We start from the raw sequence: 25,462 nt of genomic DNA on the forward strand, positions 1-25,462 counted from the left end.
GGGTTAAGAGGATAAACTTGGGAAATAATCTGCCTGGGTTTGGATCTTGCTTCTGCCATGTATTGCATGATGGACAGAGTTTTGCTATGTCACCCAGGTTGGAGAGCAGTGGCACGACCTCAGCTCACTTGCAACCTCCGCTTCCTGGGTTCAAGCGATTCTCCCTGCCTCAACCTCCCGAGTAGCTGGGATTACAGGCGCATGCCACCATGCCCGGCTAATTTTTTTATTTTTAGTAGAGATGGGGTTTCACCATGTTGGCCAGGCTGGTCTCGAACTCCTGAACCCAGGTGATCCGCCCACCTCGGTCTCCTAAAGTGCTGGGACTACAGGCGGGAGCCACCGTGCCCAGCCAAATTTTTTGGATTTTAGAACCTATTACATATTACAACACCGGCGAGATCCAGGGGCAACTCTCCATAAGTATATGATTTGCACAACAAAATCTTTAAAAATTCTAAATAGTCACACATCAGTTCAGAGTGGGTATTGCCAGCAAACAAGTTCAAAGCCAGGTGAGGTTGGCCTGCCAAGTAAGTTGCAAAACAGAGAAAAAGACCTTTCAGTTTTCAGAACGTTTTGGATTTTAAAGTTATAGATAAGGGACTGCAGACCTGTAAATATTCTTTAACATTTCTTTTTTAGTGTCTGGCATCCCCAACCACCCTGAGAATGTGAATTAGCTGGGCAGGATTTTTGTTTTAGACACTGCTATAATAACCTGGGCTTGAACAGTGCCTATTAGACTAGCACCGTTCAAACCCAGGTTATAGTAGTGTAATATCGGTTGCACGGAGCCTTCCATATAGTAAACGCTCAATAAAATTGGATGTGCTGAAGTCACCTATGCAATGGCCAGGTCAGGACTTGAAACCCTAAGACTCCAACCCTCAGGCCAGTCTTTATCTTAATTTATTTGACTTATTCAACAAATGTTTAGGGAACAGCTGCTATGCGTCAACTACTGTATAGTGTTCCTCCTAGAAAGTTCAGGAAACAGCACAGCAAAAAGGCTAAAAGTCAGACCCCACCTCAGCGCAGGTGGGGCGATTGCCTAGGCGACGACAGAGCCTCCCTTCGGCCGCACCTCCATAGAAACCACGGGATGACTTAGACGCCAAGTTTCACAGCGGAGGAGCTGTCGAACTTCCCACAAGTTCCGCCCATCTCCGCCTTAGCCATGCCCAACACGGAGCCCAAGGTGGCTTGGGAAGCTCAAGAGGAGGCCAGTGAACCCCGCGACCCGGAGCCGCTCTCATTCCGAACCCCGACAGCAGGGGCCTCCGCCTCCCACAAACGGTCGTGCTGACGTCACGGACGCCCCGGCCGAGCTGCGGCTAGGGGGTCGGGGGACGTCCCCTCGTTCGCCTCGCTTCCCCTCACCTCTGTACTTGGGGACTGGGGTGGGATTCTGGGCTTCTGCAGCCTGACCCTCGGATCCTCCGCAGTTACCCGGACTCACCTTCTCAGTTGCCCAGCGAAAACTTCCGCTGGGCGGAGAGCGCTGCGCGCGCATCCTGAATCTGAGGCGCCCGCGCAGGCGCCGCTGACTTCCTGACGGCCCCTGGGCTTCGCCTGCCTGGGAACTCCGTTTCCCAGATGCCTCCGCGGCAGGCCCGCCCTCTGATTCCAGACGGAATGGGGATTATTCCCTCATTGCTCATCCCCCTCCCCTCCGTTCTAGCCGCTTTGGAACGCCTTCTGGTTCTACTGCGCATGTGTCAGTGTCAGACCAATCGGAATGCACCGTGAGGTACCTCTCCACCAATCAGAGGTCACATTACCTAAACTTCTGCCTCAACTCCGCCCCTTACTTCCGCTTGTTTTCTCAGAAACCCGTCACAACGCGTTTCCATGGCAACCTACCGCTTGCTCTTCGGAAAAGGTTAACACTCCCTGACTTCTAGTAAAGGCAAGAAGCTAATTAGATGATTCTTTAACAAGGTAAAAATCTGGACTACAAACTGATGCCGCCTGGTCCTGATTCTCTTTCTACTCTACTCCCACAGTGCTAAGGCTGAAGAAGCAGGAGGAGATGGGAAGGCGAAAGAAGTCGCCCGCACAGCCCTCTGGGAAATAGAGTCCTGGCGCTGCCGCGGAGGATCCTGGGTGCAGCCGCTCAGAGAAGCTTCTCGCGCACAGGAAGTCGCTGCGAGGAGGCGCGTGTGCGGGGAGTTGAATCTCCCGCTCCCTTGAGGCTGGGGTTGCGTCTGTTGACGCGGCCGACTACAATCCCGAGGTACGGAGACGCTGGGGCTGAGGGACTTGCGGGCTCGGTCCTTCCTGAGAGGTGACGGAATGCAAGTGGGGGCGACTTCGGCAAAGGGTGCGTCGCCTTGGGCGGCGGTTGTCAGGGTGAAGGTGTGAACCGTCTTTCACAGTCTGTTATGAAAACCGCTCAAGGTCTGGGCACGGTAGATCACGCCTGTAATCCCAGCACTTTGGGAAGCCTTGGCGGGGGGGATCACTTACAGCCAGGAGTTCCTCGAACCCCCAGTCTCTACTAAAAATACAAAAATTAGTTGAGCGTGGTGGCGGGGGCCTGTAATCCCAGCTACTCAGGAGGCTGAGGCAGGAGAATCGCTTGAACCCAGGAGCTGGAGGTTGCAGTGAGCCGAGATCGCGCCATTGCACTCCAGCCTGGGTGACAGAGCGAGACTACATCTTAAAAAAAAAAAAAAAAAAAGAAAGGAAGAAAACCACCTTGGGAGGCTGAGGTGGGCGGATCGCTTGAGCCCAGGATTTCGAGGCTAGCCTGGGCCAGATGGTGAAGCCCTGTCTCCACAAAAGAAGAAAAAAATAGAAAAATTAGCCGGGCGTGGTGGTGCGCCCCTGTATTCCTAGCTAATTGGGAGGCCGAGGTGGGAGGATTGCTTGAACCCAGGAGGCAGAGGTTGCAGTGAGCTGAGAAAGAAAAGAAAAGAAAAGAAAACTGCTAAAGGGGTTTCCAGGCCTCCCTGATGGCCCTGAGAGGAGTGGTTCTGTTTTATTTTGGTTTTGGTTGGGGAAGGAGGGGAATGAGTTACCTGAAGTTGGCAAATTTAGGCAGAATCTTGCTGGACGATGGATGGGAGTTCTTCGGGAAGTTGAAGTACTTAACATTTACAGTATTTGAGTGCTTTCTGTGTGCCAGGCGCCCTGCTGGAGTTGCATTTCCTCTTCTGATCCCCGCAGCAGCACTGAGACATAAGTGCAGGTCCCCTTGGCACCAAGGCAATCTCGGGAATCAGAATTTTTCAGATTTTAGAAAGCTAATAGGGTGCATATTTTATAATTAGGCAGCACCCCCCCACACCCCGAGGAATCTGGGCCAGTTTTTGGTCATAAAATGTTTCTGTGGGGCAAGGTGTGAATATTCACACTTATGAGAACATTAAGACCCTACATGGCCTGTGGCAATCCAGGTGAAGTTTTGCGGTCAGTTTATAAATCAAGTTCTGGTTTTTGGAGCATTTAAAGGACCATAGATCTGTTGTATTTGTTCCATTTGGTACATGTGGAAACTAAGGCTTAGAGAAGGTAAATGGTCTGGAAGGAAGGGCAAGACTCTTGGGCCCAAGGTCTCTCAGCCTGATAATTGTTTGGCTTAAGTCACTCTGGGCTGGATGACCTTGGGCTCCACCTCTGGGCCCTCGTTTCTTTCCTCCCAGAGCTGAGAGTATATGAGATGTGGGCAGAATGTGATTTGGTAACTGCAGACAGGGATCTCAAGCTCAGCTGTCTGTGAGGGCCAGGCAGATGACATACAGGAAAGAAGAGAACTGGTCCAGGTGAGGCTGCGGGGCCTTGGGGAGCACTTGCCTCATCTGAAGGGGAGAATTGTGTTTTTTTTTTGATGACAGAGTCTCGCTCTGTCACCCAGGCTGGAGTTCGGTCTCACTGGAACCTCCACCTCCCCGGTTGAAGCGATTCTCCTGCCTCAGCCTCCCAAGCAGCTGGAATTACAGGCGTGCACCACCATGCCTGGCTAATTTCTGTATTTTTGGTAGATACGGGGGTTTCACCATGTTGATCAGGCTGGTCTTGGACTCCAAACTTCAGGTGATCCGCCTGCCTTGGCCTCCCAAAGTGCTGGGATGGCAGGCATGAGCCACTGCACCCAGCCGCTTTTTAAACTTAAATTTAATTTTTTTGGCCGGGTGTGGTGGCTCATGCCTGTAATCCCAGCACTTTGGAAGGCCGAGGTGGGTGGATCACGAGGTCAGGAGATCGAGACCATCCTGGCTAACACGGTGAAACTCCGTCTCTACTAAAAATACAAAAAATTCTCCGGGCGTGGTGGCAGGCGCTTGTAGTCCCAGCTACTCAGGAGGCTGAGGCAGGAGAATGGCATGAGCCCGGGAGGCAGAGCTTGCAGCGAGCTGAGATCGCGCCACTGCACTCCAGCCTGGGCGACAGAACGAGACTCCGTCTCAAAAAAAAAAAAAAAAACAAATTTAATTTTTTTTTGGAGGCAGGATCTTTCTCTGTCATTCAGGCTGGAGTACAGTGACACAATCATAGCTCACTGCAGCCTTGAACTCCTGGGCTCAAGTGATCCTCCTACCTCAGCCTCCCAAGCGATCCTCCTACCTCAGTCTCCCAAGTAGTTGGGACTACAGGCACGTGCCACCACAACTTGCTCATTTTTAATTTTTTTTTTTTAGAAACAAGGTCTTGTTACGTTGCCCAGGCTGGTCTCGAACACCTTTCAGCCTCCCAAAGTGCTGGGATTATAAGCATCCCCCACTTGCCTAGCACTGGTGGGGGAGCTTTAAATGGGCACCAGTGAACTAACTTCGTGGGATGTAGACCCAATGTTGCCAAATCCTAGGATGTTTCAGAAGTTGGAAACATAATTTTTAGGTGAAATTTCCCAATTTTCAAGTTTGAGACTAGTGAGCCATGCTTGAATTTTCTTTCAAAACATTCTGTCTGCCAACAAACATTATGGGCCAAATATCTGTCAACTGAGTTATACTCGTAGGTTGAGGCTTAACCTCTGACATGTAGAAAAACTCATTGTTCAGTAGAATTAGCATTTATTGTAGGTCTACCATATTCCCATATTTGTAGTCTCAAAAATCTGGACAACTCAGAACAACAAATTTTTTTTCATAAATTTAGTGTCCGTGCCTTACCTGAACTACTACAGGGTATTTTTTAAATATAACTTTAAATTATTCTACCTAGAATGAACGATGATACTTTTCTCTAGGGTAAAGTGTTCAATTATGAAATGCAGCCTGATCCACACTGCGCTGGGACTTTGTTTTGTTTTGTTTTTGTTTTTGTTTTTGAGACGGAGTCTCGCTCTGTCGCCCAGGCTGGAGTGCATGGCGCCATCTCGGCTCACTGCAAGCTCCACCTCCCGGGTTCACACCATTCTCTCGCCTCAGCCTCCTGAGTAACTGGGACTACAGGCGCCCACCACCATGCCTGGCTAATTTTGTTATTGTATTTTTAGTAGAGACGGGGTTTCACCGCGTTAGCCAGGATGGTCTGGATCTCCTGACCTCGTGATCCGCCTGCCTTGGCCTCCCAAAGTGCTGGGATTACAGGCATGAGCCACTGCGGCCAGCCCTGCACTGGGATTTTAATGAAATATGCCATGTATATGCCATATCACCTTTTGAAAATAAAAGTTGAATTTCAAAGCACATCTGGCCTTGGAGTTTGAAGAATTTGTGGACCTGTGTCATTGTTAAGTGATCCGTGCTGCTTTGTGATATGAAATGCTTTCAGCACTCCGCAGATATGTGCTACTTGGTCCACGCAGTGGATACAAATGGGTAAAAATGTCTGTGGTACAGTTTTGCGTATTATGGGTCATGAAAATAACTAGGTGGGCAGTGACTATGATTTTTTAATGAAGTAGAATAAAAGAGACTAGAATAGAAAACATCCCAGTGCATCTTACATTGCAGGGTAAGTATTGCTTCATGAAGCTTTTGTTTAGTTACACTGTGTGTTTGAGTAGTCATGATACTTTTTTTTTTTCTTTTTTGAGATGGAGTCTCACTGTGTTGCCCAGGCTGGAGTGCGGTGGCACCATCTCGGTTCACTGCAGCCTCTGCCTCCCGGGTTCAAGTGATTCTTTGCCTCAGCCTTCCGAGTAGCTGGGATCACAGGCACGTCCCACCAAGCCCAGCTAATTTTTGTATTCTTAGTACAGACGGGGTTTCAGCATATTGGCCAGGCTGGTCTTGAACTCCTGACCTCAAGTAATCTGCCCACCTCGGCCTCCCAAAGTACTGAGATTACAGGCGTGAGCTACTGTGCCTGGCCTATTCTACATATTGGTGGTGTTACTGTGGGTCACGGTTAAAACAAAAGTTGAAATATTTCTGTTGTAGAGATAGTGGCCAGGTGCGGTGGCTCACAACTGTAATCCCAGCACTTTGGGTGGCCCACGAGGGCGGCTTACTTGAGGTCAGGAGTTTGAGAACAACTTGGGCAACAAGTGAGATCCTGTCCCTACAAAAAGTGAAAAAGATTAGCTGGATGTGGTGGCACATGCTTGTAGTCCCAGCTGCTTGAGAGGCTGAGGTTGGAGGATTGCTTAAGCCCAGGAAATTACAGCTGCAGTGGCCCATGATTGTGCCACTGTAGTACTCCAGCCTGGCAACAGAGCAAGACCGTGTCTCCAAAAAAGAGTAACAGTTTCGGAGGCCAATTTACCTGAACTCAAATTCCAGAGATGATAATCAGAAATCCCAGAAGCATTGTTCCATTGGTTCTTTAGACACCTTCGTTCTGTCAACAACTGTAGGTACTTTTACACCTACTGTTAAAGCACCTACTGCGTACTAGGCACCATGCTGGTGCTAAGACACAGCAGTGAGCAAGACAGAAGCTCCCACTGTGGCCATAGACTTTCATCACCAAATCTCCTAAACATGTGCTGACTGACTGTTAGGTGCTAACCCACCATTGTTGGTGGCGAAGCTGTTCTGTAGGTTCTGAAGCACAGTGCAAATGTGGGGCTGAGGTGGCTTCAGTAAATATAGTTGTTGTTGTCCCCTGCAGGGAGACTCACATTGGGACTTGTCCTCCTCCTCCTGGACATTTTGGGGGCTCGTCAGCATGGACAGCGAGTCAGCCATGGGTGGAAGGGAGGCTTTCTCACAGCTCCCTTGTGCTTCCCACAGCCCTGCCAGCCGGGAACACGGAGGGGAAGGAGGAGGAGCTTAAAAGAGGCTACTGAACCCCAGTTGGCCATGGCTGAGGTGAGTTGAAGGTCGCTCTGTCCTAATCGGTCACACCCAAAGGCAGAAAAATTGGCCTTCCTTTGTGGCCGAGGCGAGTTGAAGGTCGCTCTGTGTTGATTGGTCACCCCCATGGCAGGAAAGCTGGCCTTCCTTTGTTTTGGCCTCCCTGTCCCATGGTGGCTCCCAGGCGATCTTTTTTAAAGGAAAGCTCGCATGCTGTTCTTTCCTGTTTGTACTCTTCTGGGAACCCCTATTGCTTATAGAATAAATTCCAGGTTTTTCAGCCTTCCTGTGTGTTCTGGCTTCTACCCTCTTTGCACCATCTTCTGTCATTTCTCTAGATAACAAATACTCCCTTTGGCCTAGTAGTAAAAGTTGATTCTGTACTTTCCAGCAGCTTCCTTTGCTCAGGTTGGGCCCTCTGCTGGAATTCCCTGCCCCTTTTCCATGTGGTAGTGTCTCACACAGCCTTTAAGACCCGGCTCAGTTCCCCCACCCTTCCCTAGGCAGTCAGCACTTTCCTGCTCTAGCCTTCCATAGTACCCCCTGCTGCCTCCACTGTAGCACAGATCCACCTAGATATGGATGTTCCTGCCCATATCTGTCAGCCCCACCAGACTAGATGCTCCTTGGGGACAGGAACTGATGGGGATTCATCTCTGGGTCCCCAGGGCCCAGCACAGGCCAGGAACACAGGAAGCCTCATGAGGTGTTAGTTGAATGAATGAATGAATCAATGAATGATGCATGAAACCATCTCTCTATCTGGTAAATATCTGTTCATCCTTAGTGATCCAACTTGAATGACCTTCCCTCCAGGAAGCTTTCCCTGACCTCAAGGCAATGGCCTCCCTCTCCCCCTTGGCCCACACAGTCCCCGATACCTCCCTTTGCCACAGTCCTACCTCCCTCGTGTCTCTCCGTCAGACCATGAGCTCCATGAGGCCAGGAAACAGGTCTGACACACGTCCATGTCCCCAGTGCCCACAATGTGGTCTAGCACACAGGGTAAATGATTGCCAAATATGTGCTCTGACCTTGTCACTTTCCTGTGGCTCCCCAGTGCCTCAAGGATCTAGTCTGCCCCGTCTTCCCACCTCCTTCATCACTGTGACAGGGGCCTTGTCCAGCGCAGTCTGGGAGTGTGAGGAAAGGAAGCCCCTCAAAGGTCCTCTTTGATCTGGCTCCTGCTTGGCTGCTACTCTTGACAGGATATAGACAGCAACAGTTTCTGTTATAAGTACCAGAAATTGACTTACGCAGTCAGGAGACTATTAATTATATAACCAAAAGTCCAGAGGTAGGGCTGTCATGATCTGCAGGTGTGACTGGGACTCAGTTTATTGTCCCCATCTTGAACCTCACTTAGTATGGGTTCCATCCTTCATGAGCTCCTTCCCTTGTCCCAAAACAGCTATCAGGACCATGTGCTGCTTTGCCTCATTCAACAAGTATTTACTCTGTGCCTGTCATGAGTGGGCTTTGTTGTAAGTCTGGACTAGGGAAACGGTTTAGGTGGTTCCTGCCCTCATGAAGCTTACTTTATTGCGGGTGACAGTGTATGAGCTTGCTAGGGCTGCTGTAACAAAGTACCACACACTGGGTGGCTGAAAACAACAGAAATTGGTGGTCTCCCAGTCTTGGAGGCCAGAAGTCTAAGATCAGGGTGTTGGCAGGGCTGGATCCTTCTGAGGCTGTGAGCCAGGCCTCTCCCCTGTGTTCTGGCAGATGGTGGCCAGCTTTGGTGTTCCTCGGCCTGGAGAGGCATCACCTCAATCTCTGCCTTCATCTTCACAGGATGTCCTCCCTGTATCTTCACATTGTCTTCCCTCAGCCTGTGTTTGTCTTTGTGTCCCCATTTCTCCTTTTTATAACAACTTCAGTCGTTTTGGATTAGGACCCACCCTGATGACCTCATCTCAGCTTGATCACCTCTGTAAAGACCCCATTTCCAAATAAGGGCAAATTCTGAGGTACTGGGGGTTAGAACTTCATTGTATCTTTTTAGAGGGTTACAGTTCAACCCATACCACACAGTAAAATGCATTAAGTAAATCCCATAGAATGCAGGCAGTATTAAGGATTATGGAGGAAAGGGATAGGGAGGCCCAGGGTAGATTTGCTGTTTTATACAGAGGGGTGGGAGAAGGCTTCATGGAGAAGAGGCATTTCAGCAGAGAACTGAGGGACACAATCTTGGCTCTAAGATGGGGTCTGGCAGGTGTGTTCAGGGAGCTGCAAGGAAGCTGGTGTGGCTGGAGCAGAGTGGATGAGCAGGAAAGGGGGAGAAGGTGAGCCCTGAGTGGCAGCTGGGGCCAGATCTTTAGGGCCCTGGAGATCATTGTATGGTCTCTGTCTTTAAATATGGTGAATCCGGAGGCCGTTGGAGGGTTTGGAGCAGAGGAGGGACAGGATTTGTTGTAAGCGGAAACAGGATCCCCCTTGCTCGTCCACCCAATTCCTGCTTAGCATCACCACTGGGACGACTGTTTCAGGGTCTTACTGCTGCTGTAACAAATAATACAAACTTGTGGGCTTAAAAACAACACAAATTTATTCTTTTACAGTTCTTCAGGTCTGAATCCCAAAATGATCTCACGGGGCTCAAACCAAGGTGTCAGCAGGGTGCGTTCCTTCTGGAGGCCCTAGGGAAGAATTCAGTCCTTGCCTCTCCCAGCTTCTGGAGGCTGCCTATATTCATTGGCTCCTGGCCGCATCACTCTAATCTCTGCTTCTGTCATGGCATCACCTCTTTTCTCCTGTGATTCCTTGTCTCCCTCTTATTAGGATCCTTGTGATGACATTTAGGACCAACCCAGATAATCTAGGATAATCTCCCCATTTCCAGATTCTTAATCACAGCTGCAAAGTCCCTTTCGCCATGTAAGATAATATTCATGGGTTCTGGGAATTAAGACAGGGACATCTTTGTGTGGGGTGGCGGCATTATTCGGCCATGACAATCTACAGGATATCTCAAACTTTACATGTCCCAAACCAAACTCAGACTCTGTCCTGAAAGCTGCTTCTCCTATGTCTCAGTAAGTGGCAACTTTGTCCTTCCAGCTGTTCAGGCTAAAAACGTAGAGCCATCCCAGGGTCTTCTGTCTTTCACACCCTCCATGTTATTCGTCAGGAAACCTTGTCAGCACCGTTATCTGAATATCTGGAATCTCACCACTTCTCACCCCCTCCATTGCTGCCACCATTTCTCACCTGGATTATCAAACTGGCCTTTTTCCTTTGACTCCCTGCTTCTGCCCTTCTCACCTTCTGTCTTTTCCCACGAAGCAGCAAGAGGAGGATGCTGTTTAGTATATGCCTAATTTAAAAAAGTTTTTTTATTGTAAAATCACAGGTGCAGAAATGCACACACATCAAATGCATGACCTAATGAAGGCGAACGCCACCTAGATCAAGAGTGAGAATTTTTTTTGCCATCCACCCCAGAAGTCCTTCGTGGGCTCTGTCATAGCCCTCTCGCATCCCCAATAAGTAACCTGATTTTTATGATTACCACTTGCTTTATTACTCAAATGCACAATCCCTTGCCCCTTCTTGTTTTTTAATGTCTTCTGTGTCTCTTAATCTTTGGGTTCCTCCTCCATCCCCTTCTGTTCTCAGCTGTTAGTTAGAGAACAGTTATTCGGTCCTTTGAGGAACTGGCATGGTTCGACCTGTAGAATTCCTCAGTCTGTTTTCTCTGGTTCCATCCTTGTGGTGCAGTTGAGTTTATTCCCAGTTGGCAGCTAGGTCCAGAGGCTTGATTAGACTCATGGTCAATCCTTTTACCAAGAATCTCTTGTGCCCCCTGTTTGTGGTCCTGGCAGATAGTGATGCTTTCTGCCTTATCACCTGTTCATTCATCAGGGCTTGCAAAATGGCGCTATCATTTCTTTTCATGTATTAGTTGGAACACTTTACAAGACATCCTTTGGCTGGGCATGGTGGCTCATGCCTGTAATCCCAGAACTTTGGAAGGCTGAGGTGGGCAAATTGCTTGAGCTCAGGAGTTCAAGATCAGCCTGGGCAACGTGGTGAAACCCCATCTCTACAAAAAATTTAAAAATTAGCCAGGTGTGGTGGTGTGCACCTGTAGTCCCAGCTACTCAGGAGGCTGAGGTGAGAGTATCACAGGAGCCCAAGAAGGTTGAGGCTACAGTGAGCTGTGATAGCACCACTGCACTCCAGCCTGGGTGACAGTGAGACCCTATCTCAAAAAAAAAAAAATTTATCTACTATTTGTCTAGTCGACGGTAGAGTTCATATAGGACAGGTAGGGTAAATGCTTGACTCTCCTTTTATTTGCTAGTTTTCACTATAAGGAATTGGTTTCCTTCTGTCATGTCATCCTTCAGAGGTGACCAGTTCTTTCATACGTGTGTGTGTGTGTGTGTGTGTGTGTGTGTGTGTGTGTTTGGCTGTTCTTAAGAGTTTTACAAAGCATTTTCATTGTAATTCAATGTAACACACCCAGGTTAAATCTCATAAGGACAGGAACTGGCTGCCCCCTTTTTTCCTGTACCTAGCACAGGGGCTGGCTCGTAGTAGGTGCTTGGTCATCATTGGACAGATAAGTAGACAACAAGCACCACTTATTTAGCAGCTTCTTAGTGAGTTGGGTCTCTGCTGAGCCCTGTGTAGGCATCAGCTCACTTCATCCTATAGCAGCCTTATTTTAGAGAAGAGGCAGGCTGAGCATTAGAGAGGTGGACTAACAAGGTCCCACAGTTAATAGATAGTAGAACTAGAATTTGAACTGGGACCTGTCTGACTCTAAAGCTGAGCCTCTAACAGGTCAGCCTCCTGGGGATTGTGTAGCAGATGGGAGCTCGTGCCACCCCACCACCTACTCACCGTGTGCTGTGGTTGGAATGTTTGTCCCCTTTGAAACTCTTTTTTTTTTGAGAGGGAGACTCTGTTTTCTAGGCTGGAGTGCAGTGGTGTGATCTTGGCTTGTGGAACCTCCATCTCCTGGGCTCAAGTGATCCTCCTACCTCAGCCTCCCGAGTAGCTGGGACTACAGGTGTGCACTACCACGCCCAGCTAATCTTTTTGTGTTTTTGGTAGAGATGGGGGTTTTACCATGTTGCCCAGGCTCATCTCAAACTCCTGAGCTCAAGCAGTCTGCCCGCCTCAGCCTCTCAAAGTGCTGGAATTACAGGCATGAGCCACCATGCCCCACCAATCGAAACTCCTTGAAATTTAATCCCTAATGTAGCTGTATTAAGAGGTGGGGCCTTTTTTTTTTTTTTTTTGAGATGGAGTCTCACTCTGTCACCCAGGCTGGAGTGCAGTGGCGCAATCCTGGCTCACTGCAAGCTCTGCTTCCCAGGTTCATGCCATTCTCCTGCCTCAGCCTCCCGAGTAGCTGGGACTACAGGTGCCCGCCACCATGCCCAGCTAATTTTTTTTTTTTTTTTTGCATTTTTAGTAGAGGCGGGGTTTCACTGTGTTAGCCAGGATGGTGTCGATCTCCTGACCTCATGATCCGCCTGCCTTGGCCTCCCAAAGTGCTGGGATTACAGGTTTGAGCCACTGCGCCCGGCCAAGGTGGGGCCTTTAAGAGATGATTAGGTCATGAAGGCTCTGCCTGTGTGAGTGAATTCATTTATTCATGGAATAATGGGTTATCATGAGAGTGGGTCTGTTGTAAAAGCCAGCTTGACATTGCTTCAGTTCCCTCACCATGTTATGCGTTGTGCCATTTTAGGGCTCTGTAGAGTCTCCACCAGCAGGACGACCCTCACCAGAGGCAGTCTGTTGGCCTTGGACTTCCCAGCCTCGAGAACTATAGGAAACAAATTTCTTTTCTTTATAAATTACCCAGTTATAGCAACAGAAGATGGACTAATACACTGTGTAACTTGGAGAAAGTGACTATTTGGGCCTTGATTTTGTTTTCTATAAGTTGGGGATAATCCTGCCTCAAAGAGGAGTCAGGCAGTTCAGTGACTCACTGCACCTAAAGCATTGAACCATTGCCGGCATGCAGAAAGCTGTTGGCCAAAGAAGGGCTTTTGCAGTCAGATGCCTGGAGGGTTGGGATGGGCAGTGTAAGCCAGAGTGGAATTGCCCCTTTGTCGAGCTCTTCCTGTGTGCTAAGTACTATGCAGTCACCTCCCAGCAGTATTTCAGTTGCTTCTTGTAGCAGCCCTGATGAGATGGGACTCGTTGGTCCCATTTCACTAGGGGAGCAGGAATTGGGGTCACAAGAGACATGCAGCTTACTTGCCAATAGTCACTCATAAAGGGAAGGTAATAGGGCCATACCTCAGACCCAAACTAAAGAGAGGTGGTTTTCATTCTTTCTTAAAATGTGCCTGTGCCCACACTGATGGAGATTTGGAAGAGACACATCAGTCATGGTTTCACCTAGAGATGGGGTGTGTGGGGGCAGGCTTTCACGTTTTAATGTTGGTACTTCTCAAGTATTTGAATTTTTATCCTAAACATCCATTAACTGTCCAGGTACAGTGGCTCATGCCTGTAATCCCAACACTTCAGGAGGCAGGGGCAGGAGAATCACTTGAGGCCAAGAGTTCGAGACCAGCCTGGGCAACATGGCAAGACTCCTACTCTACCAAAAAAAAAAAAAATTAGCTGGGTCTGGTGGCACAAGCCTGTAGTCCTAGCTACTTGGAAGCTGAGGCAGGAGGATTGCTTGAGCCCAGGAGGTGGAGGCTATGATCGTGGCACTGCACTCCAGCCTGGGCAACAGAGTGAGACACTCTCTCTCTCTCTCGCTCGCTCTCTCTCTCTGTATATATAATATATATAATTTATGGATTACCAGATTTATAAATTACCATAACTTACAAACGACAGAAGGAAACCAATTCCTTATAGTGAAAACTGGCAAATAAAAGGAGAGTCAAGCATTTACCCTACCTGTCCTATACGAACTCTACCGCTGACTAGCCAAATAGTAGAAAATTTTTTTTTTTTTTTTTGAGACAGGGTCTCACTGTCCCCCAGGGTGGAGTGCAGTGGTGCGATCACAGCTCACTGTAGCCTCGACCTCCTTGGGCTCCTGTGATACTCTCACCTCAGCCTCCTGAGTAGCTGGGACTACAGGTGCATATATAAATTATAAATTATAATTTTATAAATTTATAAATTTATAAATTATATATATAATTATATATAAAATAAAATTTAATATATACATGCACACACACATAAATAATAATAAACACTTATTAACTAGGAAAGTCTTAAAATGAAAGATGGCATCACTAAAAGTTGGACAACCAGATAGGAGCCTTGGGTAACCATGTGTTACCCAAGCGGACCTGGTACCTAAAGCGGACCTGGTACCACCTGTGAGTGGGTCTTTCCCCCAGAAGCTGTATTGACTCCAGTCAGGCCTCTGCTCTCCTGACCAGCTCACAGGAAATGCGTGGCCAGGGAGCAGCCAGGTGACACTGCATGGAAGCAGCTTGCCACACTCAGAACATGGGACCTCAAATCAGGAGCATGGAGGATGTAGAAGGCACAGCGGTACAGCTGTAGATTTCAAAACCTCAGAACCACATCAGTTACAGGGTATGGGCCCCCTGGATTCTGATTGAGACGAGCTAGCTATAAAGACACACCACTGAGATGTCAGACTAATCTGTATACAGATTTTGAATGTGGTCTAGGTGTTCAGTGATTAAGGAGTTACTGTTCATACTGAAGTATTCACAGGTGAAATCAGATGACCCCTGGGTGATGAGTTCATGGGTGTTAATTATATACATCTCTACTTGTATGTATGTTTGAAAGTTTACAAAATAAGTCTTGAATGAACACTTAAAGCAAAAGCGTAAAATAGATTTTTAGGATCAGGCAGACCTGGGTTCAGTCCCACCTGTGTTAACTTCGGTTGACATCCTGTCCCCTGGTCAAAGTCAAGGTCCTTTTCTTTGCCTACAAAATACAGGGGTTTCCAGTCTCTTACATCTCAAGATTCTTGTGAGGCTGAGGATGGGATGGTTTTTGCCAAAGCCCTGGCAGATTGAGGGCTGGGAGTGCCCTGAGTGAGCTGTTGGGCTCCTCCCTGACCCCAGCCTCTGAGTGACCAATAGTGTACTGTGTTTCAGGAATTTGTGACCCTCAAGGATGTCGGCATGGACTTCACCTTGGGAGACTGGGAGCAGCTCGGGCTGGAACAGGGGGACACGTTCTGGGACACAGCGTTGGACAATTGCCAGGACCTCTTCCTGCTGGGTGAGTGTTGCCTGTCCCCAGGGGCCTACTCACTGCCCTGCTTGGTGATCACCCATGCTCTCTACCACCCACAGGGTGAAGTCCTGGCTCCTGGGCTCCTCAGAATCAGCATGACCTAGCCCAGCAGTTCTCAGCTGGCCGAGGAGACATTGGCAATGTGTGGAGACATTTTTGATTGTTACTCCTTGGGCCAGCGCAGCGTGCCGCTAGCATCTAGCTGGTGGAACCAAGGGAGGCTGCCACACATCCTACAGTGCACAGCACAGCCCCACAACCAAGGATTGGCCCACGCCAGTGTCAGTAGTGCTAAGCCTGGGAAACCCTGCTCTGGCCCCTATCTGCCTCCCCAGCCTTGTCTTCACCACTTTCCTACTTGTAGTCAGTCATTCTTCAAGCTGATACTTCAAAGTCTTCCAGTTGCCCTCCCCTCTGCCTAAGCGGCTCTCAGGGCTTACATTTTTAAAGTTTAACCTGGGACCCTGTTAGAACTCCATACCTCCTCTCCTACTCATCTTGTCTGTCGCTCCCTCACGTTCTAACTACCATTGTATCATTCAGAGCGGGAGCTGTGTGAGGACAGGGCGTGTCCCCAGTGTTTGGAACGAACAGTACCTGCTCTAGGGCCCAGCAGACAGCTCTAAACTAATGAATGATTGAGTAGCAGCTCTTAGGACTTGCTTGTTCAATCCTCCAGTCACCCCATGAAGAAGCTGGGTTGTCCCTCTTTTGCCGATTGGTCTGAAACTGAGGTTAAAAGAGTGGCAGTCACCTTCCCAGCTGTGTCAGTGTCCCCAGGAGCACCCACAGATTCAGTGATTGGCTAGGATTCCCAGGACTCATCCTGTAGTCAGACTCATGGCTATGACTTACTACAGTGAAAAGATTCAGAGCACAGTCAGCAAAGGGAGGAGGTACATGGGGCAAAGTCCAAGGAAGCCAGGCACAAGCTTCCAGAATTCTCTCAGGGGAGTCACATGGGACATGCTTAATTCCCCCAGCAATACTGTAGAATGTGATATCGCGTGTGAAATGCTGTCCACCAGGGAAGCTCATCAGAGACTCAGTGCCAGGGTTTTTACTGGGGGCTGGTCATGTGGGCTCCTCTGCCTGGCACATTCCAAAATTCCAGCCCCCCAGAAGGAAAGCAGGTGTAAGCCACCGTGTTTGCACAGTTTAGGTCCAGGGAGCGTGTCTCTTCAGTTCTGGAGACACGGGGTACCCCCCTGAAATCCAGCCTTGCCAGCAGGCTTTTCCCAGGAGAGCAGCCAGCCTGCTGTGTCGCCCTCTTCTGCACACCAGTGTCACACAGTGAGACAGCAGCAGGGCCCAGACTCCAGCTAAGGTCTGTGCAGCTCCAAGGCCATATCACCCCAGCTCCCCATCAGTGTCACCTGATTAACTCATTTTCCCTCTCTGTTGCCTCAGTTCTTTCTTTTTGAAGAACCAGAAAAATAATTTACTCCAAAAGATGAAAGAAGTAAAAGATAACACACGGTGGAAACTATCATTTGATAGAATCTCATCACATTGGGGCAGACTTTCTCCAGACTGGCCAGTGTGTGCTAAGAAGCATCTCGTGGGAGGTCCTACCTCAGTGTCTTTTTGAATTTTTAAACTACAGCCCACAGTAAGAAGTGTGTTTACCTCGACTGCCCCTTCACCCATTTGTGTGAATGTATGAGTAGTGTATCCGTTTCCTATTGCTGCTGTTACACATACCACAAACACAGTGGCTTCCACCAGCACACTTTTATTATGTTACAGTCCTGGAGGCCAGGAGTTCCAAATGCATGTGGCTGGGCTGGAGGCGAGGTGTTGGCAGGGCCACCATGTTCCTTCTGGAGGCTCCAGCACGTAGATAGTCCTTCCTGGCCCGTTGCCAGCTTCTGGAGGTCACCTGTATTGCTTGACTCATGGCTTCTCAGTCTTCAAAGACAGCAGTGGCGTTTTCTCCGCTGTGGCCTGTATCCCTCCTGGATGGTGACTCTGTTCCCTTCCTTGGGGAAGCTTGTGGAGGGTATGGCTCAGGACTGCTTGGGCTCTGGGACCCTGACATTTTCTGTCCCTGGCCCATGGAGGCCTCAGGCAATGTGTGGCCCATGGGTCAGTGAATAAATCATGAATGGCTAAGGAAGTACGTGCCTCTCCACCTGGCAGATCCTGCCCATTAAAGAGCTGTCACAAGTCCTTTGTATCCCCAGCCCCAGCTGTCACAGCTTTGATCACCCTGGATTGTGATTGTTTGGCTCCCTCTCCATCACTGGACTGGGAACCCTACAGGACAGGCATCCCCAGAGTCGCCCAGTGCAGCACCTCGTCCACACACAGGAGCCACGTGCAGGATAAAGCATAGAAAAGTCAGGAGAGCCAGGAGGTTCTCACTGAGTGTCTGGATGGTCCTCCATGTCCTGGTTGGGTGACAATGCTTTTCTCTCCCTGCAGACCCCCCAAGACCCAACCTGACCTCCCACCCAGATGGCAGTGAAGATCTGGAGCCTCTGGCAGGAGGAAGCCCAGAAGCAACAAGCCCTGGTGAGTGGATGGAGAGGGGCCCCTTGTGTACCTTCTGTCTTCCAGACCTCCATCCTGAGGCTGCAGCCAGCTTTCCCACAGGTCTACCGAGACATTACAACGCTCAGCTTCAGGACTTCACTCTGCTTCTCGCTGGCTTCCATCCCCTTGTCCTGGGAGCTGGGGGGATCAGGACATTTTTATAGACCCTCACTCTGGGGTCTCTCTACCTTGCCCTTCAGCACAGGGTTATCCTGGTGCCTCTCCACAGCTCCTCCTCTTTCCTTCCAGACTCAACAAGGGTACGCCCTCCACTCTCTCAGTTGGTCTCTCTACTTTCCTGCCTTGTGCTCCCTGAGTGTGTTGACCCTCATTCTACTTCTTTTACCTCCTTTCCTTCAGGCCCATTTTTCCTTCCTATCCCTGGGGCATAGCAGATGGCCACATCAGGGAGTAACTTAAGCCCAGGCCTGAATGCTGCCAAGAGCATCTGCCCTGCCATCTCCCAAGCCGGGGTTCCTCCAGGTGGATCAGGTTAGGTGGTGAGGATTCCTGGGGTATTACCCATGGTAGAGACGTCCCCAGCATGAGAAGCAGGGCCCTGAACCAGAGACCACAGGAATCTCAGGCTGTACCCCATCCAGTCAGTCTGCAGCTCCCTTCTTGGCTCACCACGCTCAGGCTCGTGTACATGAGGCCTCTGCAGCCTCCTCTTCAGCACATCAGTGTTCCTCATAGGTGACTAACTCATGCACAGGCTCTCACAACTTCTGCTTTCTGTTTCTGTCACCTCAGCATATTGGCTGTTTCCAAACATAGGTAGCCATGCCTTTACTAACAAATATACCTCCATATCCTCTAGTAGTGACACTTGAGTTGCATAGTTACCACATAAGCGTCTTTCCCCTTTAACAGCATGCCGCTCTTGGAAGCAGGGCTTAGCTGATTCACCCTGTATTCCCAGCTCCTGACATCATGCTTGGCATATAAGGGGTGCCTATTACATGTCTGTTGGTGCATTTGAGGCCGAGGGAACAACATGAGCACAAGTGTGGTGAGGAGAGTGAGCTGGATATCTGTGGGAGAGATGAGCAGAGGCAAAGGTGACAATTCAGAACAAGATGTGGTTTCAGAAGGCTTTCATTTGCAAGTTTTAATTCCAGGCAGAGAGACTTTAAGCAGTCTCATAGATACTCAGATGGTGAGCCAAGAACTGCACAAGGGACAGGCTGGAAAAGGTATGATGATGGAGGAGAGGAGAGATGGGGAGACTGGAGGCATACAGCAGAGCAGTGACATTCATGTTTTGTGAAGGATCCCAGAGAGCATACAGCTTGGTAGTTAAGAATATGGGGGCCAGGCGTGGTGGCTCATACCTGTAATCCCAGCACTTTGGGAGGGCGAGGCAGGCCGGTCACTTGAGGTCAGGAGTTCGAGACCAGCCTGGCCAACATGCTGAAACTCTGTCTCTACTAAAAATACAAAAATTAGCTGGGCGTGGTGGAGGGCACCTGCAGTCCCAGCTACTCGGGAGGCTGAGGCAGGAGAATCACTTGAACCCAGGAGGCAGAGGTTGCGTTGAGCTGAGATCGTGCAGCACTTCAGCCTGGGCAACAGGGCAAGACTCAGTCTCCAAAAAAAAAAAAAAAAATATATATATATATATATATATATATAGTCAGAGGGGTTCAAATCCTCAGTCTTCTGCTCACTTACCTGTAAGAAAGCAGAAACGTGCCTACCTTACAGGAGGTTGTCGAGTGTAACAGAGTGCCTGAGGCACTCCTGCCTGTGAACAAGCATACCATGAATGGGAATTACTCTGTCCTGTGAATCTTTCTCGTGGCCGCCTCTGTGGCAGTGGATGGATGAGCAGTGGAAGGTCCCCATTAAAGAACTTACCTTCTGGTAAGGGTCAGGGGTCAGACCCTTTCATAACCTGTTATGGTAGAGGATGGTCAGTGCTCAGCTGGTTTTCAGAGAATACAGGGCAGGGGACTTAAAGCAGAATGGGGATGGGGTTGTCAGGGAAGCCTTTCAGAGAAGGGTGATAAGCTGGGTATTAAAAGACTTAGAGGAGTTAGTCCAGGAAGTGCCATCCAGCATGAGGGACCATTAAAGGCACAGAGGAGAAAGTCTGGTGGATTTAGGGAACCGCAAGAGTTCTATGAGGTCAGCACAAAGAACACTGGGCTAATACACTCATTTCTTTTCTCCAGGCAGGAAGCCATGGAAGGGTTTAATCAGAGGAGTGATATAGTCAGATCCATTAACTACAAAGCCCTTTAGGGCTAGTGTGGAAGACTAGAGAGAGAGAGAGACAGACAAACAGGAGACCAATGAGCAGCCTGGGGTCAGATGCTGAGTCAGTGATAAAGAGAGGAGAGGAAGGGAGTTGAGACATTTCGATAGAGACCAAATGAAAATAGTGCCAAGTTGAGGGAGGTAGGGAGGAGGTTGACTCCCAGGATTCTAGCATGGAGAACTGGATGGATGGTGGTGTGGGGAGAGCGGGGTGTTGTCTGGGATAGAGGATGCAGGATATGAGGAGGAAGATTTTGGTGACAGTACAGGATAGAGTGGAGAGTAGAAGCAGGTGAGTCCAGGCGATTTTTTAGGGAACTTGGTCAGTCACTTAGGTGTGAAGGTAATGGTAGAATCTCCCTCCTCGTTGAACCCTATGGTTTCCCAACTCCCTTCTTGACCCTCCTGGGAATGGGCTCTGTCTGTTTTCTGTGATGCCAGTTCCACATGGGTCACCCCTTTGGGTCCCTTGATGGATAGGCTGGACTCAAGATCTATCACCCCTACTTGCTCTTGTCTGTGTTCTCACCCTTAGTGAACAGGAGACATTTGCACTTGCTCTTTCAGATGTGACTGAGACCAAGAACTCTCCTCTGATGGAGGATTTCTTCGAAGAAGGATTCTCCCAGGAGATTATAGAGATGTTATCCAAGGATGGCTTCTGGAACTCCAATTTCGGAGAAGCCTGTATAGAGGACACCTGGTTAGATAGTTTGCTAGGCGATCCAGAAAGTCTTCTGAGGTCTGATATTGCCACCAACGGGGAAAGTCCCACGGAATGCAAGAGTCATGAATTAAAGAGAGGACTCAGTCCTGTGTCCACCGTTTCCACGGGAGAAGATTCCATGGTGCATAATGTTTCTGAAAAGACCCTCACACCAGCTAAGTCTAAGGAATATAGGGGTGAGTTTTTCTCCTACTCCGACCACAGCCAGCAGGATTCTGTTCAGGAAGGGGAGAAACCATATCAATGTAGTGAATGTGGGAAAAGCTTCAGTGGGAGTTACCGTCTTACCCAGCACTGGATCACTCATACTAGGGAGAAACCCACTGTCCATCAAGAGTGTGAGCAAGGTTTTGACCGGAATGCTTCCCTTTCTGTGTATCCGAAAACTCACACGGGCTACAAATTCTATGTGTGTAATGAATATGGGACAACTTTTAGTCAGAGTACATACCTGTGGCATCAGAAAACTCACACTGGAGAAAAACCATGTAAGAGTCAAGATAGTGACCACCCACCCAGTCATGACACACAGCCTGGTGAGCATCAGAAAACTCACACAGATAGTAAGTCCTACAACTGTAACGAATGCGGCAAGGCTTTTACCCGGATCTTCCACCTTACTCGGCACCAGAAGATCCACACTCGGAAACGCTATGAGTGTTCCAAGTGCCAGGCGACCTTCAACTTGAGAAAACACCTCATCCAACATCAGAAAACTCACGCTGCAAAAACTACCTCTGAGTGTCAGGAGTGTGGGAAGATTTTTAGGCACAGTTCGCTGCTCATTGAACACCAGGCTCTTCATGCTGGAGAGGAGCCTTATAAGTGTAACGAACGTGGGAAATCCTTCAGGCATAACTCTACCCTAAAGATCCATCAGAGGGTTCACAGTGGAGAGAAGCCTTACAAATGCAGTGAGTGTGGGAAGGCCTTCCACCGGCACACTCACCTTAATGAACATCGGCGAATTCATACAGGCTACAGACCCCACAAATGTCAGGAATGCGTCAGGAGTTTCAGCCGGCCCTCACATCTGATGCGACATCAGGCCATTCACACCGCAGAAAAGCCCTATAGCTGTGCTGAATGCAAGGAGACTTTCAGCGATAACAATCGCCTTGTGCAACACCAGAAAATGCACACTGTCAAAACCCCATATGAATGTCAGGAGTGCGGAGAACGCTTCATTTGCGGCTCAACCCTGAAGTGCCACGAGAGTGTTCACGCCAGAGAAAAACAAGGATTTTTTGTGAGTGGGAAGATCTTGGATCAGAACCCAGAACAGAAAGAGAAGTGCTTTAAGTGTAACAAATGTGAGAAAACCTTTAGCTGCAGCAAATACCTAACTCAGCACGAGAGGATTCACACCAGGGGAGTGAAGCCCTTTGAATGTGACCAGTGTGGGAAAGCCTTTGGCCAAAGTACTCGGCTCATTCACCATCAAAGAATCCACTCTAGAGTGAGGCTGTATAAATGGGGTGAGCAAGGGAAAGCCATCAGCAGTGCCTCCCTTATCAAACTTCAGTCCTTCCACACAAAGGAGCACCCTTTTAAATGTAACGAATGCGGAAAGACCTTCAGCCACAGTGCACACCTCTCAAAACATCAGTTAATTCACGCTGGAGAGAATCCCTTTAAATGTAGTAAGTGTGACAGAGTCTTCACCCAGAGAAACTACCTTGTTCAGCATGAGCGAACTCATGCCAGAAAGAAGCCGTTGGTGTGTAACGAATGCGGGAAAACGTTCCGTCAGAGCTCATGCCTTTCTAAGCATCAGAGAATTCACTCAGGTGAGAAGCCCTATGTATGTGATTACTGCGGGAAGGCCTTCGGCCTGAGTGCTGAGCTTGTCCGCCACCAGAGAATTCACACTGGAGAAAAGCCTTATGTTTGTCAGGAATGCGGGAAAGCCTTCACCCAGAGCTCATGCCTTTCTATTCACCGGAGAGTTCACACTGGGGAGAAGCCCTACAGATGTGGTGAATGTGGGAAAGCCTTTGCCCAGAAAGCAAATCTAACACAGCACCAGAGAATTCACACAGGGGAGAAGCCTTACTCCTGTAATGTGTGTGGCAAAGCTTTTGTCCTCAGTGCCCATCTCAACCAGCACCTGAGAGTTCACACCCAGGAGACACTTTATCAGTGTCAACGTTGCCAGAAAGCCTTTCGGTGCCACTCGAGCCTCAGCCGCCATCAGCGTGTACACAACAAGCAGCAATACTGCCTGTAGCCATTGGGTGGCAGCAGAGTCCCAGAATATGAGACCGTTACTCGGATGTTGAAAGTTGGAAACTATCCCATTGCAAGTTTCTCTCCAAATAAATGCATCTAAAGATTGATTAGAAAGTTTGTGCGCATGTTTTTCATTATAACAATGAAAACACAAAAGTGGAGAAGCTGTACAACGTCAGGATTCAGAGGTAGGCTCTGGAGCCAGTCTACCTTGAGTTAAATCCCACCTCTGCCATCTACTACCTAAGTGACCTTGGGAAGGTCAGAAAAATCTCTCAGGGCCTCGGTGTCCTTATCTGTAAAATGGGCATCACCTACCTCAGAGGGCTTTTCTGAGGATTAAATAAATAAATGTGAAGCACTTAGAACTGATGGCCAGCACATGAGGGCTCACCAAGTGTAAGCCACAAATACACATCAGCTATAGCACAAATATACTTGTGTTACAAGAAAGGAATTAGTAATCTGTGTTTACTGTAGTTAATGTTCTTACAATGTATCGCTTTTAATTTAAGTTTTCCTTTTTTACAGTTTTTCTCCAGCACTTTACTCTTCTTAAGTGCCTGGCCTTTTTTGTCCCTTTATCTCTCCTGGTTTTTTTCTTAAGCCCCAGAAAGCCAAAAAGAACATGTAAACTCTTCACCTCAACTAGCTACAACCTTCCACTCCTAACCTCCCAAGCTTCTCACTTAAAGAGGACTCCCTATCCCACAAACACATGCTCCCTCTTCCTATGACCTTCCTCCATTTAACAGTGTTGGTTATGCAATAAGACACCCAATTTTTCATGGGAGTTGACACCAAAACACAGCTGGATTCCATCAGGAAAGCTGCATTGATCAGGGTGTTAACCGCATATGAAACAACCCATATGGAAGACATACTTAGGGGTCAAACCTGTGGTGTGTGGAAGTGACCACTGGGATGTCATCATTCACCATTTATCCAGGATGGCCGCTCACCAGGCAATTTGCTAGGCTCGGGGGCGGGTAGTATCCATACACTATGCACTACTGCTCTGAAGCTTCTGGAATCAGAAATGAACCCATTTTCATCGACGATTGCTGTTAGTTGACAAGTGACATCTTGAAAATGCCACATTCCCTCATGTCACAGGAAGTTCTGGGATCACCAAGGATTGTTGGAGAGTCCAGTGAGATGGAACCACACAACCAGTTCCCTACCAGTGTCTTGTCAGCTCTGGGTGTTTGTTCCCTGCCACTAAGTGGCTCAGTCACACCTTTGCTGAAACACAGTAGTCTTATGAAAAGCACTGGACACATACTTTGAATACCTTTCATATTTTAGGTGCTGAAAATGGTGAGGGAGTGAGTGCTCTGCACCCTTGGGCTTTTCAACTCTTGCACCTGGAGTTCTGCTGGTTAAGTTTGTTAAACTTAGTTGAAACTGGGAACCTGTTGGCTAACCATTGGGGCCTTACACTGTTTTTCAAATGGTTGCAACATTTAACTTCTCGCACATGGTTCCCGTCCTCTGGAGCTCTGTCTTGTCGGGGAGATGGGCATGTTGTATACCAAAAGAGTGTACAAAGTGTTGCAGGGCTGTGACACAATAGGGACTCTATGGAAAACTGGCAGCCATTGGGTGTGGGGGCAGTCTGTAAATCAGTCACCTGTGTTGCTGCAGGCCAAGGTAGAAACGCCCTCCGTGTGTGCATATTTGTTGGTTCTCTGATTAAAGTTTTGAGTCTAAAAGCATTGGTTCCTTCTCTCAGCCTGCTGCCATGCAGCCACGCATCAGTCCCTGCCTGCCAGGCCTCACGTCTTTGCTGGGGAGGGCTTCTGGTGGCGATCAGTAAGAGGGAGCAGCTCAGTTTTCCCACTGTCTGGGCGGGGCATGCGCCACTGAGGAGGCACACAAGTTCAGCTGGTCCTCAGATGCATCATCAAACAACACTTTTCAGTCTGTGTGTGGGCCTAAGTAACCAAGGAGAGAGCACAGGCAGCCTGCAGTTCACTCTTCACAGACATGTCAGGCCCCAGGCTTGGGGAGTGTTTCTAATTAGCATCCAGTAATACATATAACTTTGTTTATACTTTAATTTTTGTCCCCACCTTTTTCCTTTAGTGACAAGTGACAAGAGATACTAGTTCCTGCTCATGGTAGTAATAGAAAGTTTTTTTTTTTTATAAACTGAGCTGATAGGGCCGAGTGTGGTGGTTCATGCCTGTAATCCCAGCACTTTGGGAGGCCTAGGTGGGAAGATGACTTGAGCCCAGGAGTTCGAGACCAGCCTCAACAACGTGATGAAACCCTGTCTCTA

General features: G+C 48.8%; 2 protein-coding genes and 1 long non-coding RNA gene across 23 annotated transcripts in view, besides 4 other annotated features; 1 reads left to right on the forward strand and 2 right to left on the reverse strand.

The window, feature by feature from the left end:
- Positions 1–1,489, reverse strand: part of VRK3 (VRK serine/threonine kinase 3) — a 48,905-nt gene extending 47,416 nt beyond the window's left edge. For 8 of the 18 annotated variants that reach the window (XR_007066859.1, XR_007066857.1, NM_001025778.2 and 5 more), the window contains exon 1: positions 1,384–1,489. The gene's annotated coding sequence lies outside the window, so the exon portion shown is untranslated. Of the gene's footprint in view, positions 1–1,031 lie in introns of all 18 variants that reach the window. The other 10 variants (XR_007066860.1, XR_007066855.1, XM_005258972.5 and 7 more) reach the window with 3 other exon arrangements.
- Positions 795–1,296: an enhancer, noted in NCBI's record as "H3K27ac hESC enhancer chr19:50527935-50528436 (GRCh37/hg19 assembly coordinates)". NCBI's record gives its function as "activates a minimal SCP1, AML or CMV promoter by ChIP-STARR-seq in naive H9 embryonic stem cells {active_cell/tissue: H9 hESC(naive)}" and the evidence as "EXISTENCE:reporter gene assay evidence [ECO:0000049][PMID:30033119]".
- Positions 1,346–1,425: an enhancer, noted in NCBI's record as "active region_14971". NCBI's record gives its function as "activates an Ori minimal core promoter by ATAC-STARR-seq in GM12878 lymphoblastoid cells {active_cell/tissue: GM12878}" and the evidence as "EXISTENCE:reporter gene assay evidence [ECO:0000049][PMID:35858748]".
- Positions 1,766–1,815: an enhancer, noted in NCBI's record as "active region_14972". NCBI's record gives its function as "activates an Ori minimal core promoter by ATAC-STARR-seq in GM12878 lymphoblastoid cells {active_cell/tissue: GM12878}" and the evidence as "EXISTENCE:reporter gene assay evidence [ECO:0000049][PMID:35858748]".
- On the forward strand, positions 2,122–24,893 carry ZNF473 (zinc finger protein 473). Of its 3 annotated transcripts, none has more exons than NM_015428.4 (5): positions 2,122–2,239; positions 7,009–7,208; positions 15,278–15,404; positions 17,847–17,936; positions 20,787–24,893. In NM_015428.4, exons 2-5 carry the CDS (start codon positions 7,200–7,202, stop codon positions 23,174–23,176), a joined length of 2,616 nt encoding a protein of 871 aa, NP_056243.1. In that variant the 5' UTR covers positions 2,122–2,239; positions 7,009–7,199; the 3' UTR covers positions 23,177–24,893. The 3 variants fall into 3 exon arrangements, with proteins under 3 accessions (NP_056243.1, NP_001006657.1, NP_001295353.1); NM_001006656.4 differs by having other exon boundaries at positions 7,131–7,208; NM_001308424.3 differs by lacking the exon at positions 7,009–7,208.
- Positions 2,226–2,275: an enhancer, noted in NCBI's record as "active region_14973". NCBI's record gives its function as "activates an Ori minimal core promoter by ATAC-STARR-seq in GM12878 lymphoblastoid cells {active_cell/tissue: GM12878}" and the evidence as "EXISTENCE:reporter gene assay evidence [ECO:0000049][PMID:35858748]".
- Positions 17,139–20,806, reverse strand: ZNF473-AS1 (ZNF473 antisense RNA 1). Of its 2 annotated transcripts, none has more exons than XR_007067295.1 (2): positions 20,749–20,806; positions 17,139–18,991 (listed from the first exon to the last, which is right to left on the reverse strand). It is a non-coding gene; the product is annotated as a ZNF473 antisense RNA 1 (long non-coding RNA). The 2 variants fall into 2 exon arrangements; XR_007067294.1 differs by lacking the exon at positions 20,749–20,806 and adding an exon at positions 19,292–19,330.

The sequence above is a fragment of the Homo sapiens genome, chromosome 19, assembly GCF_000001405.40.
Source record: "Homo sapiens chromosome 19, GRCh38.p14 Primary Assembly".
Lineage (NCBI taxonomy): Eukaryota > Metazoa > Chordata > Mammalia > Primates > Hominidae > Homo > Homo sapiens.

Excerpts from the sequence above, each read along its gene's own strand:
- ZNF473 (NM_015428.4), top strand. Across the intron at positions 15,405-17,846 it reads CCAGGACCTCTTCCTGCTGG|ACCCCCCAAGACCCAACCTG; the intron begins GTGAGTGTTGCC and ends CTCTCCCTGCAG. Across the intron at positions 17,937-20,786 it reads CCCAGAAGCAACAAGCCCTG|ATGTGACTGAGACCAAGAAC; the intron begins GTGAGTGGATGG and ends TTGCTCTTTCAG.